General features: G+C 44.5%; 1 protein-coding gene across 3 annotated transcripts in view, besides 3 other annotated features; it reads left to right on the top strand.

Moving 5' to 3' along the window:
- Window positions 2,171-2,270: an enhancer, noted in NCBI's record as "active region_1608". NCBI's record gives its function as "activates an Ori minimal core promoter by ATAC-STARR-seq in GM12878 lymphoblastoid cells {active_cell/tissue: GM12878}" and the evidence as "EXISTENCE:reporter gene assay evidence [ECO:0000049][PMID:35858748]".
- Window positions 2,622-16,486, top strand: part of NBPF20 (NBPF member 20) — a 135,704-nt gene continuing 121,839 nt past the window's right edge. The window contains exons 1-5 of one of the 3 annotated variants that reach the window (NR_189122.1): window positions 2,622-2,902; window positions 3,327-3,445; window positions 4,794-4,911; window positions 7,469-7,737; window positions 12,097-13,263. The gene's annotated coding sequence lies outside the window, so the exon portion shown is untranslated. Of the gene's footprint in view, window positions 2,903-3,326; window positions 3,446-4,788; window positions 4,912-5,240; window positions 6,811-7,468; window positions 7,738-12,096; window positions 13,264-15,334; window positions 15,477-16,486 lie in introns of those variants that run through there. The other 2 variants (NM_001397211.1, NR_189123.1) reach the window with 2 other exon arrangements.
- Window positions 11,870-12,529: an enhancer, noted in NCBI's record as "OCT4-NANOG-H3K27ac hESC enhancer chr1:148357173-148357832 (GRCh37/hg19 assembly coordinates)". NCBI's record gives its function as "activates a minimal SCP1, AML or CMV promoter by ChIP-STARR-seq in naive H9 embryonic stem cells {active_cell/tissue: H9 hESC(naive)}" and the evidence as "EXISTENCE:reporter gene assay evidence [ECO:0000049][PMID:30033119]".
- Window positions 12,530-13,191: an enhancer, noted in NCBI's record as "OCT4-NANOG-H3K27ac hESC enhancer chr1:148356511-148357172 (GRCh37/hg19 assembly coordinates)". NCBI's record gives its function as "activates a minimal SCP1, AML or CMV promoter by ChIP-STARR-seq in naive H9 embryonic stem cells {active_cell/tissue: H9 hESC(naive)}" and the evidence as "EXISTENCE:reporter gene assay evidence [ECO:0000049][PMID:30033119]".

Here is a 16,486-nt window from a genome sequence, read left to right as displayed (position 1 = left end):
CAGATGGCCTCCTATCTTCCCTTTGCCCTTCAGTCTTCCTATGTTTGTTTTATATACAATGCCCAAGGTTTTTAGATGTAATGAGCAGGAAGAATAGGGCAAAGTTCATCTATTCCACCTTCCCAGTGTATGCCTTTGATTTCCTTGTCTTGCCTTATTGATTTGGGTAGGATAGTCATGTGAAATATCAGTGGTGAGCGTGGTCTTCCCTGCTTAGTTCCCAGTCCTAGAGGGAAAGCATGTAGTCTTTCACCGTGAGTAGGATGTTAACTGTGAATTTTTTTGTAAGTGGTCTTTATCAAGCTGACAAAGTCCTGTATTCCTATGTTTCTGATACTTGTAAAACATTCCGTTTCTTCCCTTCTTTCTATTTTGTCTTATTTCTTTTTTTGTTTGTTTTGTTTTTTTGAGACGGAGCCTCGCTCTGTCACCCAGGTTGGAGTGCAGTGGCGTGATTTCGGTTCACTGCAAATTCCGCCTCCCGGGTCCAAGCAATTCTCTGCTTCAGCCTCCTAGTAGCTGGGATAACAGGCGCCTGCCACCATGCCCAGCTAATTTTTGTATTTTTAGTAGAGACGGGGTTTCGCCATGTTGGCTAGGCTGGTCTCGAACTGTTGACCTCAGGTGATCTGCCCACCTCGGCCTCCCAAAGTTCTGGGATTACAGGCATGAGCCAAAGAGCCTGGCCTCCTTTCTTTATTTCTATCACGAATAGATGTTGAATTTGTCAAATGATTTTTCTTCATTGACTGATAAACGTTTTTGTGGTCTGGTTTTGGAGTTGGGGTAATCATAGATTTACAGAAATAGTTGAGAGGTGTTCCTTCATCTTCTATTTTCTGGAAGAGATTGTATAGAATTGACGTTAATTCGGCTGGGCGCGGTGGCTCACGCCTGTAATCCCAGCACTTTGGGAGGCCGAGGCAGGCGGATCACAAAGTCAGGGGATCGAGACCATCCTGGCTAACACGGTGAAAACCCGTCTCTACTAAAAATACAAAAAATCGGCCGGGCGTGGTGGCGGGCACCTGTAGTCCCAGCTACTCCGGAGGCTGAGGCAGGGGAATGGCATGAACCCAGAGGGCGGAGCTTGCAGTGAGCCAAGGTTGCACCACTGCACTCCAGCCTGGGAGACAGAGCAAGACTCTGCCTCAAAAAAAAAAAAAAAAGGAATTGATGTTAATTTTTCTTCAACCGTTTGGTAGAATTCTCCAGTGAAACCATCTGGACCTGGAGCTTTCCTTTCTGGAAATTTTAAAATTAGGAATCCAATTATTTTATAGTTACAGAGCTACTCAGATGACCTATTTTGCTTTAGGTAAGTTGTGGTAGTTGATACTTAAGATGAATTTGTCCAATTCATCTGGGTTGTCAAATATATGTCAAATATTATTGATCTTTTCAAAGAGACAGCTTTATTTTCACTAGTTTCCCCTTTTGTTGTTTTTTGTTTTCAATGCCATTGATTTCTGCTGTTATCTTTATTATTTCCTTCCATTTGCTTTAGGTTTTTTTTTTTTTTTTTTTTTTTTTTTTGTAGATTCAGTCTCATTCCCATGGCGCAGGCCGGAGTGCAGTGGTGCGATCTCAGCTCACTGCAACCTCCACCTCCCGGGTTCAAGCGATTCTCCTTCCTCAGCCTCCAGAATAGCTGGGATTACAGGCGGGTGCTACCACGCCCAGCTAATTTTTTTGTATTTTTAGTAGAGACGGGGTTTTGCCTTGTTGGCCAGGCTCGTTTCGAACTCCTCACCTCAGGTGATCCACCCACCTTGGCCTCCCAAAGTGCTTGTATTACCAGCGTGAGCCACCGTGCCTGGCCTGCTTTAGGTTTCTTTTACTTGCCTATTTCTTGTTTCTTGAGGGGGGAGCTTAAGTGTATTCATTTGAGACGTCCCCTCTTTTTTTTTTTTATCCCTTTTTAAAACTTTTCTATACAATTATTATTGTAGGAAGTTAGGCTTGGGCCCGCAAACTATGGAAGGACAGAATATACTAGGCCGCTGCTTTAATAGCTGGTGCCTGCTTGTCGCCCACCCCCACTCCCCCACCTTAGTTGCCTATTTCTTGGTATTTCCTAATCTTGTTGAAAAAGAAGAAGTTTTTCTTTTTCTCAAAGGCTTCAGTGGAAGCCCATCTGCAAAATCTGTTATTAATTTAAATTAGAAAATAACTACAAGTGCCATTGACATGCTGGTTATTGTTTTTTCGAGTGACCTAAGGTCACCTCTCAGGGGAGCTGGGGGTTGCCTTCCGATGTCTGCGCGTCTGCACCGCATGCCGGGGCCTGGAAGTCAGACTCGGGGGCGGTGCTGCAGCGCCAGCCTGCACTCCTAAGCCCGGGGTCGCTCCGGGCCCCCGAGGGGGTGTGTCTTCTGCCCCTTTAACCTGGCAGGGGCGGTTCAAGTGGCCCTGGAAATCAGCGATTTGCAGGGTCAAGTGCTGGTGCCTTGAAAGAGAGGCGGAGCGGAGAGAGGGATTTCCCGGTCTCTGCTGCTCTCCGTCCATCCGCTCCCTTAATCCTTTTCTTGGCCCGCGCGAACCCGCTGTGCGGCAGAGGCGGCCAGGTACCTTTAAGGCCCCGCTGCGCCTGCGCCTGCGCCTGCGCCTTGGGCTCTCTTGACGCGCCCGGCGAGACCCTGAGGATCCAGCTGGCCGCAGGCTATGGGCTGGGCGGCGGTTGAGACAGCGGCGATATTGGGAGGGGTAGGTGAGGGTCGCGAGGCTGCGTGAGCTTCTGAGTGAACGCGGTGCTTTTGGGAACGCGGGACGGGCGACCTGTGGCGCCAGGAGCGGGCCGAGGCGCGGCGGCGCGGCTGCCGTCTGGATGGGAAGTTACGGTTTACAGCGAAGTCCACCCAGCGTTTCCGAGGTGAAGGCGCCGCGCCAGGCCGGGCGGGCGGTGAGTCCGGGACCCGCGGGTACACAGCTGGGTCGAGCTGCGGCTGTCGCAAGCTTTGTTGCGAGCGACGGAGGGCGAGGCGGGGTGGGGGGTTGGGGGGGGCGTGTGTTCCGGCCCCGCCGGGGCTTAAGTTCCATGCGTTGGATTCCTCACTTGCCGCTGCCGCCCGCAGCCCTCATCTCTTGGGCGCTGGGGAAGAAACTCGCTGGCGGGTGTTCTGTGGCATCCCAGGGGGTGGAGGGACGAGCAGCTTCGGGGGCACGTCCTCGTGTATCCTGTGGAGGACCCTGACCCCGCACCCCACCCTCGAGGCCAGACATCGGTTGCCTCTGGGGACCTGAGAGGCGAGACCACTCGCGCCCCTGGGTTGCAAAGTTGGGGTCTTTATTGGCCTCCGGGATTCTGCTCCTGGCGGTTTCTCCAGGCTGGTGATGGGCAAGCCGGGTGTACCAAGTCCATGATGCACATGAGGAGCATTTGTAGCCATCACTGAATCACCTCATGACTAGCGGGACAAGCCTCAAATTCACCGCAGGATTTCCGGTAGGTTGGATTGTGGGGTTGGTGTTTGCACTCCAAAGAGGTGCTGTGATTTCCCTGTGTCTGTCTGTCTTTCTGGCTTGTTAGATCTTCTCATTTGGCGTCCTTTCTCCGAAGAGTTAACCAAGACGTTTGGCATGGTTTCCTTGCTTTCCTCCTATCTTTTGCTGCTAGAGCTGCTTTCGAAAAGAAGTCTTTTCTTGCAGTGATACCTTTTCTTTGGGTTACAGTGTTGTTCATCCTTTCTTTGCCGAAAGAATGAATCCCAGTGCTTCACGAAGTTAAAGAAAAGATCTGCTGGTAGTGTTTAGTTTTTGTTCTGAGCTGATATGTGTTAGTAGCTTTTTGTTTTTAAATTTTATTAGTAAAATTTCACCAGTGAACCAGAAGCTCTTTTTTTCTATTGTGAAATGCTAGCTTTAAGATTTCTGAGAACTTTGTGTCAAAGAAATCTTTGAAAAGTTACTGAAGTATACAGAGAGGTTCACAATTTTAAATGTGCAGGTGGTCCGGGCGCGGTAGATCACACCTGTAATCCCAGCACTTTGGGACGCCAAGGTGGGCGGATCACTTGAGCCCAGGATTTCCAGACCAGCCTGGGCAACGTGCCAAAACCCTATCTCTACTAAAATTACAAAAGTTAGCTGTGTGTGGTGGTGTGTGCCTGTAGTCCCAGCTACCTGGTAGGCTGAGGTGGGAGGATCACCAGAGCCCAGGAGGTTGAGATTGCAGTGAGCCGTGATCATGGCAGTGCACTCCCGCCTGGGTGGCAGAGTGAGACCCTGTCTCCAAAAAAAAAAAAAAAAAGTACAGGTAATGAATTTTTACCAAGTGAACCACCACAGATCAAGAAATAGAGCATTACTAGACTGGGGTATATTTGTAGGAGTGGCATTGTTGGTTTTAGAGGTATATGAATGATAAAACTTAGTATTACATATTGTTGAATGTTTTCCCAAAGTGATTGTACCATTTAGCAGGGATATTCTGGTTACCCCACATCCTTGCTGATGCCTGTCAGTTAAAAATTATTTTGCCATTCTAGTAGGGGTGCAGTAATGTATCAGTGTGATTTCATTTTGCATTTTCCTGGTATTGAGATTGAGTATCTTTTATTGTCATTTGTGTGTCCTCTTTTGTGAAGTGCCTGTTAAATCTTTTTATCCAGTTTTCATTGATATGTTTGTTTTTCTGTTGATTTGTAATACTTTTTTCCGGATATGTGTCCTTTCTACGATATATATGTATTGCATTTCCCTTTTTTCAATCTGTAGCTTGCCTTTTCGCTCTTTTAATGGTGCTTATTCATGAATGGAGATTCTCTAACTTTTTTTTTTCTTTTTGAGACAAGATCTCACTCTGTTGCCCAGGCTGGAGTGCAGTGGCACAATCACAGCTGACCGCAACCTTGACCTCCCAAGGCTCAGGTGATCCTCCTGCCTCAGCCCCCAGGTAGCTGGGACCTACAGGTGAGCACCACCACACTCAGCTCTTTTCTGTATTTTTAGTAGAGATGGGGTTTTGCCACATTGCATAGGCTGGTCTGGAATTCCTAGGCTCAGGTGAGACATCTGCCTCGGCCTCCCAAAGTGTTGGGATTACAGGCATGAGCCACTGCACCCAGCCTGAGATTCTTAATTTTAATGAAATTATACTTTATCAATCTTTTCCTTTATGGTTACTGCTTTTTGTGTCCTGTTTAAGAAATCAATGCCTAACCTAGGAGTATGAACACATTTTTCTGTGTTAACCTTATAGCAATTTTATTTTAGTTTTTGCATTTCTTTTTTTTTTTCAGACAGGGCCTCACTCTATTGCCCAGGCTAGAGTGCCGTGGCAGGATCTCAGCTCACTGCAACCTCCACCTCCTGGCTCAAGCGATCCTCCCACCTCAGCCTCCTGAGTAGCTGCGACTATAGGAGTGTGCCACCATGCCTGGCTTAATTTTCATATTTTTTGTAGAGATGGGATTCAACATGTTTCCCAGGTTGGTCTCAAACTCTTGGGCTCAAGTAATCTTCCCACTTAAGCCTCCCAGAGTGTGGGGATTACAGGCATGAGCCACCCCACCCGGCTATGATTCACTTTTTACTACGTGGATGTGTCTGCTTGATCCAGCACCATTTATTGAAAAGACTATTCTTTTCCTTCTGCACTGTTTGGCACTTTTTTTCTTAAATCGGATGACTGCATGGTCATCCAATTTATGAAATTAGTGTGGGTCTGTTTCTGTTTCTGGACCAACCTGGGCAATATAGTGAGATCCCATCTCTACAAAAAATAAAAATAATAAATAAATGAGTAAAATTTAAAAAATAAGTGCATAGAGCAGATGGAGTCATAGGTGATAATTTATAAATGATTGTCAGTTTCTTGGCTACATACGGGTGTTGGTAATTCAGATGTGTTGGGCATTCAGGGAAAATGTATTAAGGGAAGTATGTGGTGTTCACAGTGATTGCTAGATGTTCATTGTGACTTGAATTAGATGTTATTTGAGCCTCACAGAGCTACAGTTTTGACTCTTTATTTATTTATCTTTTTACAGTTTTTACAATCTTCCTGTCAAGGCAGTAACTCTTTTATACTTCATTGTTCTTAGGTATACTTAATTACCAGGAAAACTTTATGGATCGTACCTAAATAAGCGTTAAGCCATTTAAAGGGCCGACGTGATATGATGTAAACAATAGTATTCTACATAATAGTTTTAGGACTACATCGAACCATTTTTTTTTTTTTCTTGAGACAGTGTCTCGCTCTGTTTCCCAGGCTGGAGTGGAGTGGTATGATCATGGGTCTCTGCAGCCTTGACCTCTCAGGCTCAAGCAGTCTGCCCACCTCAGCTTCCTTAGTAGCTGGGTCTACAGGCATGCACCACTATGCCCGGCTAATTTTCTATTTTTTGTAGACAGGGTTTTCCTGTAGTGCCCAGACTGGTTTCAAACTCCTGGGCTCAAATGATCCTCCCACCTTGGCATCTCAAAGTGTTGGGATTACAGGCATAAGCCATCACCGCTGGCCATTTTAGTTTTAATAATTTTTATGTTTTTCTAATTTAAAAGATTTGCTAAAATCTCTTACAGCTATTATTTATGAATATAGTATTCATTGTTGTTATTATGATTATTTTGTATGTGTTCAATCTCATTTTCAACATAAGCTCCTGGAAATTTGAGATTTTGTCTCTTATTCACCACTGTATTCTCAGTACTTGACCTTGCCTGGCATGAAACAGATATTGAATAAATATTTGTTAAATGAATGAATGAATGAACATACTAATACCATATTCAACAATCTCCAAGTGTCACAGTTTTCACCATGTAACAAATAAAATAGCTTGTATACAGCAGAGTCACAGTCAACCTGACATAAAAGGAAATGTCAATGAAAAATAAACCTTTGTATGTGTTGCTGCTAAGATTTTGGGGCTTTTGTTACTGTAGCATAACCTAGCGAAAGCTCAGCGAGACAGCCTGTAGAATATACGTGTACAGATAGACCAGATAGACCAGTAGATGCGATTCCAAAGAAGCATTAACTACACCCACACACTCTTAATTCCCTAACAGAAAGAATCGAATTCTTGTTCACTAAGATCTGCCTCAAGTATTACTTGGTGAAAACTTCCCTGGCTACTCAAGTATTTAGTCAGGACTCTTTATTTTTTTTTCCCCCAGGCTGGAGTTCAGTGGTGCCATCATAGCTCACTAACCTCTAATTCAAGGCTCAAGGAATCCTCCTGCCTCAACCTTCCGAGTAGCTGAGACTACAAGTGTGTGCCACCATGCTGGGCCAATTTTTCATTTTTTATTTTCAGAGATGGGGTCTTACTATGTTGCCGAGGCTGGTGAGGACTGTTGATTACATATGACAGGAACCCAAACAATTCTAGTTCCCCACCACCTTTCAACCTGCTCCTCCCTGGGTCTTCCCAGTCTCCGTAAACGGCAGCTCCATCCTTCAAGTTGCCGAAGCCCCAAATCTCAATATTAACCATGATTTCTCTCTTTTATCTCATAGGCAATCTGAAAGCAAATCCTGTTTAGATGCAGGCGAAGGTTCCTGGTGACCCAGGCTCTCACCTTACCGTCCCTTACCGTCCTCCTGAGGGTGTCCTGGAGCTTCAGTGCTGTGTGTTCTTGGCCTCCACGCTGGGGGTGCCACCAACTCCCACTGTCCAGGGCTTCCAGTGGACTCTCCGAGGTACTGATGTAGAAACTTCCCCATTCGGTGCACCAAGAGCAACCTCACACGGTGTGGGCCGAATGAAGAGCTGCCAGATCCCACAGGTAAAAACCCTGAGGCATTGCCAGCTCGATGGAGTCAGAGAGTCCTTTTTCTATTATGACTCAGATGTGAAGGGAAGATGCCAAGGGCCCTAAACATCGCAGGGCCTTACCTGGCATGAAACAGATACTGAATTAATATTTGTTAAGTGAATGAACAAATATTCACAGCGTGTGCCACCCTCGACCTGCAGTGCCGTTGTCAGGTGGAAGTGATTTTACTTCAGGAGAGGACAGTGTTCTCTCCAGGACTTTTCCTTAGTAGCTAGATCTGCATCCCACTCCTTGCTCTTCCCCTCTTACCCCCCATTCTCTGCCCCCATTTCCGTCTCTTGTTTCCACCCTGCCGTCCCCTTTCACCTGCTTTCTCCTCTTCAGCTTTCATGGCTCACCCCCTCCCTGTCCACCCGCATCCCCCAGGCTAAGGCCCTGCACTGTCCTGGGTGGGGAGATGTGTGTGGTTTTAGGCAGTGCCCTCTAGATGTGTCCAGGATGGGGAAACATGGCTCAGTTGCCAGTATAATGGGTTAAAAGAGAGGCCACTTTTGAAGGCCGTTCCCATCTCCCATTCCAGAATCCTGTAGGACTTAGAATTTATGGGCCACAGTGGAATTCTTGGTTCCCCAGGACCTTGTGGTGGACGCCTTCTTTCACTGAGCATTCATGGGGTGACTATTAGGTACCATGCCCTGCTCTGGGCTAGAGACCCCATAATGAGTAAATCTCAGGTCACTACCCCATGGAACCCACCACTGCAGGCATTGAGAGGGGGAGAAAGAAAGGGGCATGGCCTGTTTGTATCCTTCTCACGTGGCCGTCCACCAGGTCCTGGGGGAGTGGGAGCCAGTGCGAGGAGGGAAGTCCAGTGAGAATGACAAATGGACGATGTCAGACCCAGGGGCTGAGGCCCCCACCTGCAGCTGGGCAGCTTCTGGAGTGGACAAGGAGCAGCAGGAAAGGTTGCGGCCTGGTGTTCTGGGATCCACTGTCTCATCTCATTCTTTTGGGCACCAGAACTTATCCAAAGACAAGACTCAGTGTCTCTGGCAACAGTGGGCCAGAGGAATTATGTGTTTCAGAGGAGGAAGAAGGGGTTGTACCCCATGGAAACAGTATATAGTTTTACAGTAGTGCGTCTGTCTCCAATAACTAGTTAGCGTGTTCCTGTTAATGGAAAATACTGGTGGTGTAAGTTCCCCTGGATGTTCTCATCTTCATGTAAATTTGTTCATTTCCTTCCTTCCTTCCCTACTTCTCTCCTTCCCTACTTCTCTCCCACTCTTTTTCTCTCTCTCTTTATTCTTTCCCTCCCTCCTTCCCTTCCACCCTCCCTCCCTTCCTTCCTTCCTTCCTTCCTCCCTTCCTCCCTGCCTCCCTCCCTCCCTCCCTCCCTTCCTTCCTTCCTTCCTCCCTCCCTTCCTCCTTCCTTCCCTCCCTCCATTCTTTCCTTTCTTCCTTTCTTCTTTTCTTTTTCTTTGTCTCTCATGCTCTCTCTTTTTCTTTCCTTTTTGTTCTACTTTTTTAAATAGACCACACTGCACTGAAATCTACATTACTTACCAAAACCTCTGGAGCTGCTTCTGTCTTGTAGGCAGGGAGCTCGTCCTGTAGCCCTTAGGTCCTCCCAGCCTCCTCCTCCTCTGATTTGTGGGTGCCACTGGGGCAGCTGCTGAGTCTCAGTGGTTCCTAGTCATCACCAAGTTCTGCCCACCTAGATGGTTTGCACCTGTCCTTACCAGAACCCTGCACTGTCTAGATGACTGAGGCTGCTTCTGCCTAACTGATCTGCTATCTGTGTTCCGGGGGCACCCCAGGGTTAGAGGTAAATGGCACAGGCATTGAAATCTCCAACTGCTCTGACTCCAGGTTGGTGCACTTCAATGCCAAGTACTAACCACACAATAACAGGATGCCACCAAAACCTTGGTATGGGGCTGCTGCATCCTAATTAAAAAAAAGTAATAGATGTTATTTTTTAGAACAGTTCTAGGTTTACAGAAAAATGGAGTGGATAGTACAGAGAGTTCTCCTAGGCTCCCCTGTCCTCCAGCACACAGTTTCCCCTATTAGTATGTTGTATTAGTGTGGTCCATTCGTTACAATTGATGAACCACTATTGATACATCATTATCAACTAAAGTCCATAGTTTACACTAGAGTTCATTCTTTGAGTTTCACAGATTATGGGTTTTGGCAATTATGTAATGTCCTAAATCCCCAATACAGCATCATGCAAAATAGTTTCACTGCTGAAAATTCCCTGTACTTCACCATTTCGTGCCTCCTCCTCTCCTCCACCCCTGACAACCACTCATCATTTTACTACTTCTATCTTTTTGACTTTCCAAGAATGTCCTAGAGTTGGAATTACAGTATGTAGGTTTCCAGACTGGCTTCTTTCTAGCATTATGTACTTTAAGTTCCTCCACGTCTTTTCATGACTTGACAGCTTGTTTTGTAAAATCACTGAATCAGATTTCATTGTATGGCTACAACACAGTTTGTTTATTCATTCACTTGGTGAAAGACGTCTTGGGTACTTCCAAGTTTTGACAATTATGATAAAATTGCTGCAAGTACTTATGTGCAGGATTTTGAATGAACTTAAGTTGTCCAAAGTGACTGTACACTTTTGATTTCCACTAGCTATGGAGAGTTCTGGTTGTTCCTCATCTTTGACAGCATTTGGTGTGTTCACCGTTTTGTGTTTTAGCCATTCTGATAGGTTTACAGTGATATCTCGTTGTTTTAATGTGCAATTCCCTCACAACAAATGATTTTGAGCATCTTTCTCATATGCTTATTTGCCATCTGTATATCTTATTAATGAGGTGTTGAGATCTTTCACCTTTTTTTTTTTTTTTTTTTTGCTTTGTGTTGTTTAGTTCTCAGAATTCTTCATATATTTTGGCAGCAGTTTTTCCATCAGATTATTTTGTAAATATTTTCTCCCAGTCTGTGACTTGCTTTTTCCATTCTCTTAACAGTGTCTTTCACACAACAGAAGTTTTTAATTTTAATGAGGCTCAACTTAATTTTTTTTTCATTAGTAGATTGTGCTTTTGGTTTTGTATCTAAGAAGCCATCATTGAACCCAGGATCCCTCAGATTTTCTCCTATTTTATCTCTTAGGATTCTTATGGTTTTGCACCTTACATTTACGTGTAAGATTTATTTTATAAAGGGTATATAACATGCATACCTGGATTTATTTATTTTTTTTGCATGTGGTTGTCCAGCTGTTCTAGCACCACTAGTTGGAAAGGCTATCTTTGCTGTTTTAAATTGTCTCTAAACCTCCATGGAAGATCAGTGGACTGTATGTAGGCCTGCTTCTGGGCTCCGTATTCTTTTCCATGCATCTATATGTGTGTGTTTTCTCTTTTCACCAACTTCACACTATTTGGGTTACTGTAGCTTAATGTAAGTCCTGAAGTTGGTAGTGCCAAACCTCAGGGAGTTTTTCTGAACTTCATCATGAGAACCTGGTTGAGATCATTGTAGTAACACTTGGAAATGTGTGAGATTCCCCCTTAGTCTGGTCTTCAAGGAGTTTTTAATGTTCTAGCCAGGCTACCCTCAGCTTCTAGTAATCTGTCAATACCATTTAAGTGCTCCTCCCACTTGCTGTCCCCAGTAGCTTCTCTTCCCTGTGAGCTGTGACTCCTTGTGTGTTAGCCTGTGTTTCTCATTTTTAAGGTGGCAGTTTTCCCTGTGACCTCAATTCTCTGATCCACCCTAGAAGGGTTGACTTTCAGTTTGTTCAGCCTTTTTCTAGCTGTGAGGACAAGTGATGACTGCCTAGCTCTTTCCATGTTGAAATAGAAACCCAAAAGTTTGTTTAAAGAATTACTTGTTATAAAAGTCCCCCATTGTTAATGTACAACTCAATGATGTAAGTTGATTTATCGAATTGTGCAGCCATCAGCAGAGTTCTACTTCAGCATATTTTGTCACTTCCCAAATTCCCTTGAACCTGTTTGTAGTCATTTCCTAATCCCTGGTCCCCATGACTGGGTCTGAATAGAATAAACATTTGGAAAGCAGATTTCATTATATTTACATTTTCCTGTGTTTGGGACTTTATATAGTGGACTATTGTGTTCGTTTTGTGACAAGTAGAGAAGAGATTGCATTCTAGGGATGGTTTTTGGGGAAACATAATAGTAGTCCTGTTTATGGCTCTCCTTGAATTGGTTCATCTGTGCTGGTGACTGGTATTTGTTACCAAACCTTGTCTGGTGAGCACAAGAAAAGGAATTTTTTAAAATCTGCTATTAAAATTGAGATGATACATTTTCACATAATAATATTTGGAGTTAAGTAGTGAACCGTCTTTATTTTATCTTTTTTTTTTTGGAGATGGAGTTATTTCTCTTTTCCTTGGGCTCAAATGCAACGGCGCCATCTCAGCTCACTGCAACCTCCACCTCCTGAGTTCAAGTGATTCTCCTGCCTCAGCCTCCTGAATAGCTGGGATTACAGGCGCCTGCCACCGCACCTGGCTAATGTTTGTATTTTTGGTAGAGACAGGGTTTCTTCATGTTGGCCAGGTTGGTCTCTAACTCTTGACCTCAAGTGATCCACCTGCCTTGGCCTCTCAAAGTGCTAGGATTACAGACACGAGCCACGGCCTGACCTGAACTGTGGGGAAAAGAAAGAGAGATCAGATTGTTACTGTGTCTGTGTAGGAAGAAGTAGACATAAGAGACTCCATTTTGTTCTGTACTAAGAAAAATTGTTTTGCCTTGAGACGCTGTTAATCTGTAACCCTACCCCCAACCCTGTGCTCCCTAAGACATGGGCTGTGTCAACTCAGGGTTAAATGGATTAAGGGCTGTTCAGGGTGTGCTTTGTTAAACAAATGCTTGAAGGCAGCATGCTTGTTAAGAGTCATCACCACTCCCTAATCTCAAGTACCCAGAGGCACACTACACTGCGGAAGACTGCAGGGTCCTCTGCCTAGGAAAGCCAGGTATTGTCCAAGGTTTCTCCCCATGTGATAGTCTGAAATACAGCCTCGTGGGAAGGGAAAGACCTGACTGTCCCCCAGCCCGACACCCGTAAAGGGTCTGTGCTGAGGAGGATTAGTAAAAGAGGAAGGAAGGCCTCTTTGCAGTTGAGATAAGAGGAAGGCATCTGTCTCCGGCTCGTCCCTGGGCAATGGAATGTCTCGGTGTAAAGCCCGATTGTATATTCCATCTACTGAGATAGGAGAAAACCGCCTTAGGACTGGAGGTGGGACATGCTGGCAGCAATACTGCTCTTTAAGGCATTGAGATGTTTCTGTATATGCACATCAAAAGCACAGCACTTTTTTCTTTACCTTGTTTATGATGCAGAGACATTTGTTCACGTGTTTACCTGCTGATCTTCTCTCCACTATTATCCTATTGTCCTGCCACATCCCCCTCTCCGGAAATGCCCGATAATGATCAATAAATACTAAGGGAACTCAGAGGCCAGTGCCGGCATGGGTCCTCCGTATGCTGAACGCCGGTCCCCTGGGCCCATTTTTCTTCCTCTGTACTTTGTCTCTGTGTCTCTTTCTTTTCCAAGTCTCTCCTTCCACCTAATGAGAAACGCCCACAGGTGTGGAGGGGCAACCCATCCCTTCACTGAACCATTTTTATTCTTCCAGAAATGTGATTGATAACAGTAAAGCCACACTCCTCAAGTGCCTGAAATACCCCTCATTGTCTTCTTCAGGTGGCAAGGGCTCTGGAACAGCCACATAAAGGTGAGGGCAATATTTTTACTGTAGTTCTTTCATTGATTGGTTGATTGATTTTTTTCTCTTAGAGGGTTAGCATACATTTATCTGAAATTGAAATTCAAGAGGAGAGACAGGCACCTGTACTAGTTTTCTCTTGCTGCCTATTATCACATTACCACAAACCAGTGGTTTGAAACCACAGAAGTCTGGAATGAAGTGGCCGGGTTCTCTGATCAGAGTCATGTGAGGCTAAAATCCGGGAATGGGCTGGCTGTGTTTTTTTCCTAGAGCTCAAGCTATTTTTCCAGGTTCACTACAGATAATGAAAGAGTTCCTATTCTTGTTTGTGGGGGACTGAGGGCCCTTTTTCTGTGCTGGCTGTCAGCGGGGAGACAGTCTACTCTGACTCCAGAGGCCACATGCTTTCCTCCTTACCTGTCTGTTTCATCTTTCAACCAATAACAACTCATGGAGTCCTTCTCAAGCTCCCACCTTCTCTGACTTCATCTTCTCCAACCAGCCACACAAAGCTCTGTCATGTATGGAGTGATGTGATTAGATCCAGTTCATGCGGTAACCTCACCATCTTAAAGTCATATAACTGGCATATAACAACATAGTCACAGGAATGGTGTCTCATCACCTTAAGAGGCTTTAGAGACAAGGGTGTGGCATGTTTGGGGACCATTTCAGAAATTCCATCTACCACAGTAGGACACTCACATTCCCCCATCTGCAAAGTGCATTTACCCTCTCCCCTGAGGTTTCCAGATTTCATGTCATTAAAGCATTAGTTCAACATGAAAAATGTCATGTAGACCACATCAGATCAAAAGTTTAAAATCCCATCTAAAACATCCACACCAGGTGTGAATGAGGCTTCCGAGAGTGTCCATTAAGTGCAGATCCTTGACATAATTCCCTTACCTCTGTCGACCTGTGAAACTGAACAAACAGCTTATCTGCCCCTAATGTGAAATGATGGGACAGACATAGAATAACCACTACAGTGATTCTAGTTCAAAATGAGGGAACATGGAGGGGATAAAGAAGTCAATAACCCAAAATAGTTTGGAAATGGAGCTGGGCAAAATCCAGCAGGAGTTTCTTAGTTAGGATCCACAGCCTGGGACTGACCCTCTGTCCTGTGGGTCTTTGCCTCTGGGCTCTCTGCTCTGCATTTCTTGAAACCATTATTATTTATCATTTTTCTCACACTCTTTTGCGTATGGCTCCTATTGCACTCAAAATGTTTTTGAGATTCATCCATCTTGTTTTGTGTGTCAAAAGTTTGTTCCTTTAGCCGTTCCATGGAATGAATGTATCACAGTTTATTGATCCATTCTTGTATTGATAGATATTTGAATGTTTCCAGTTTTTCCTATTATGAATAAAACTGCTATGAACATTCTTGTATAAATCATTTTCTGGACATATGTTTTAATTTCTCTTGGATAAATGCTTAGGAATTAGTGAGTCATAGAATAGGTAGTTGTTTAGTTCTGTAAGAATATGCCAGACATTTTTTCCCAAAGTGTTTATACTATTGTACATTCCAACCATTAATGTATGAAGGTGAGAAAGCTTTTGCTACTTCCAAAGAGGCTTCTCTATATACATGTAATTTTTTCTAACTGGAGACAGGCTGATGACTTCAGGGACATGAGCATGGGATACCTGTCATCACCACCACCATAAAGTTGGGATTCAGGAAGGAGGTTAATCATATAAAGAATCCTGTGACCAGTATGAGCTTCTCTCAGGCCACACAGGGCACTCAAGTGAACAGGGCATGGGGGCCCTGGGGTCATGGTAAGAAAGTGTCTCATTGGTAAAACCTTTTCCTCTGGGGAGGTAAATAAATGATTTGTTTCTTCTTGGTAGCCCTTGAAGATAAGGATGGTCAAACAAAATAATATCATACCTGGAGAAACTCAGATCTTGGTAAGATTTACTGGTTGGGAATCCAAAGTTAATGCCAAGAAGCAGCCGCCAGTTGGGATCAAATGTGAGCCTATGGATCAAGGTGCGTACTCAAACACAGAGAGCTTTGTGAAAGATGCTACCAGTAGTTTTTCCAGGGCAGAGATGGGTCCTTTATTTTTCTCTCTAATCTAGCCCATATGCTTAGCTGAGTTTTCTTCGTATCACTTTAAATGATGATGTCCCTTGTTCAACAATTTTCTAAACATTCTTTAGATAATAATTTTATGGGCATTCTTTACTGCATTAGGCTTAAATTTAATGCATCTTAAGGTTTTATTGCAAAATATTGCCTTGTTTCCTTTTTAAGATGATACAGTTTATAATATGCAAATTTGTTGTGTCCCCTCCCTTTATGTACATAGAAAATGAGCAAACAGGTGGCCATGAAACAGATGGTCATAGAATTGGTTCAGTGGTTGTGAGTGCAGCAACCCAAGGGTGTCTTAATCTGAAATACCACCAGGAATGTCTGGACACAGTAGACAAAGGTTTTTCAACTGGACGCCTTAGGATACATGCTTCCAAAAACAAAGTAGCCGAAAAGAAACCAGAGTCACAGAATATCAGAGCCAGAGGAACATTTGGAGGTAATTCAGTACCTCCTCCTTTTCAACCTACAGGGGAGATAGTGGAAGAGAAGCAGGGATGGGTCTGCCTTCTGTGCCCACAATTCATTGGAGATTGTTGTGGTGAAGAATTTCTTTTATGATGAAGGAGAAATAAACTCCCATCAGCTTTAATTCAGGCAGGTTTATTGAAAAGGTGAAGAAGCATCTTGCAGAAGCAAAGCATGGCTGAGGCTTGTGGGCTCTGTCTGGACAAATGAGCAGCCGACAGTGGCTGATGCTGCCCCTGACTCTGGGGCCGTGCGGTCTGTGGTTCTCTGTGAGCATCTCTTCTATTCTCTTGCACCTTCCCTCAGCCTGGCAGTCTCTGTGTACTCTTCAACCCATAATTGAGCGAGGCTGTACCAGCCCCAATGCCATGTAGCACTTTATGTCAAATTAGAAAGGCATGAGCATTTGGAAAATGAAATAAGAATACAATTTC

This window comes from Homo sapiens, chromosome 1 (assembly GCF_000001405.40).
Source record: "Homo sapiens chromosome 1, GRCh38.p14 Primary Assembly".
Classification (NCBI taxonomy): domain Eukaryota; kingdom Metazoa; phylum Chordata; class Mammalia; order Primates; family Hominidae; genus Homo; species Homo sapiens.
Note: the sequence above shows the minus strand (reverse complement) of the source record. Positions and strands in the feature narration are given on the sequence as shown.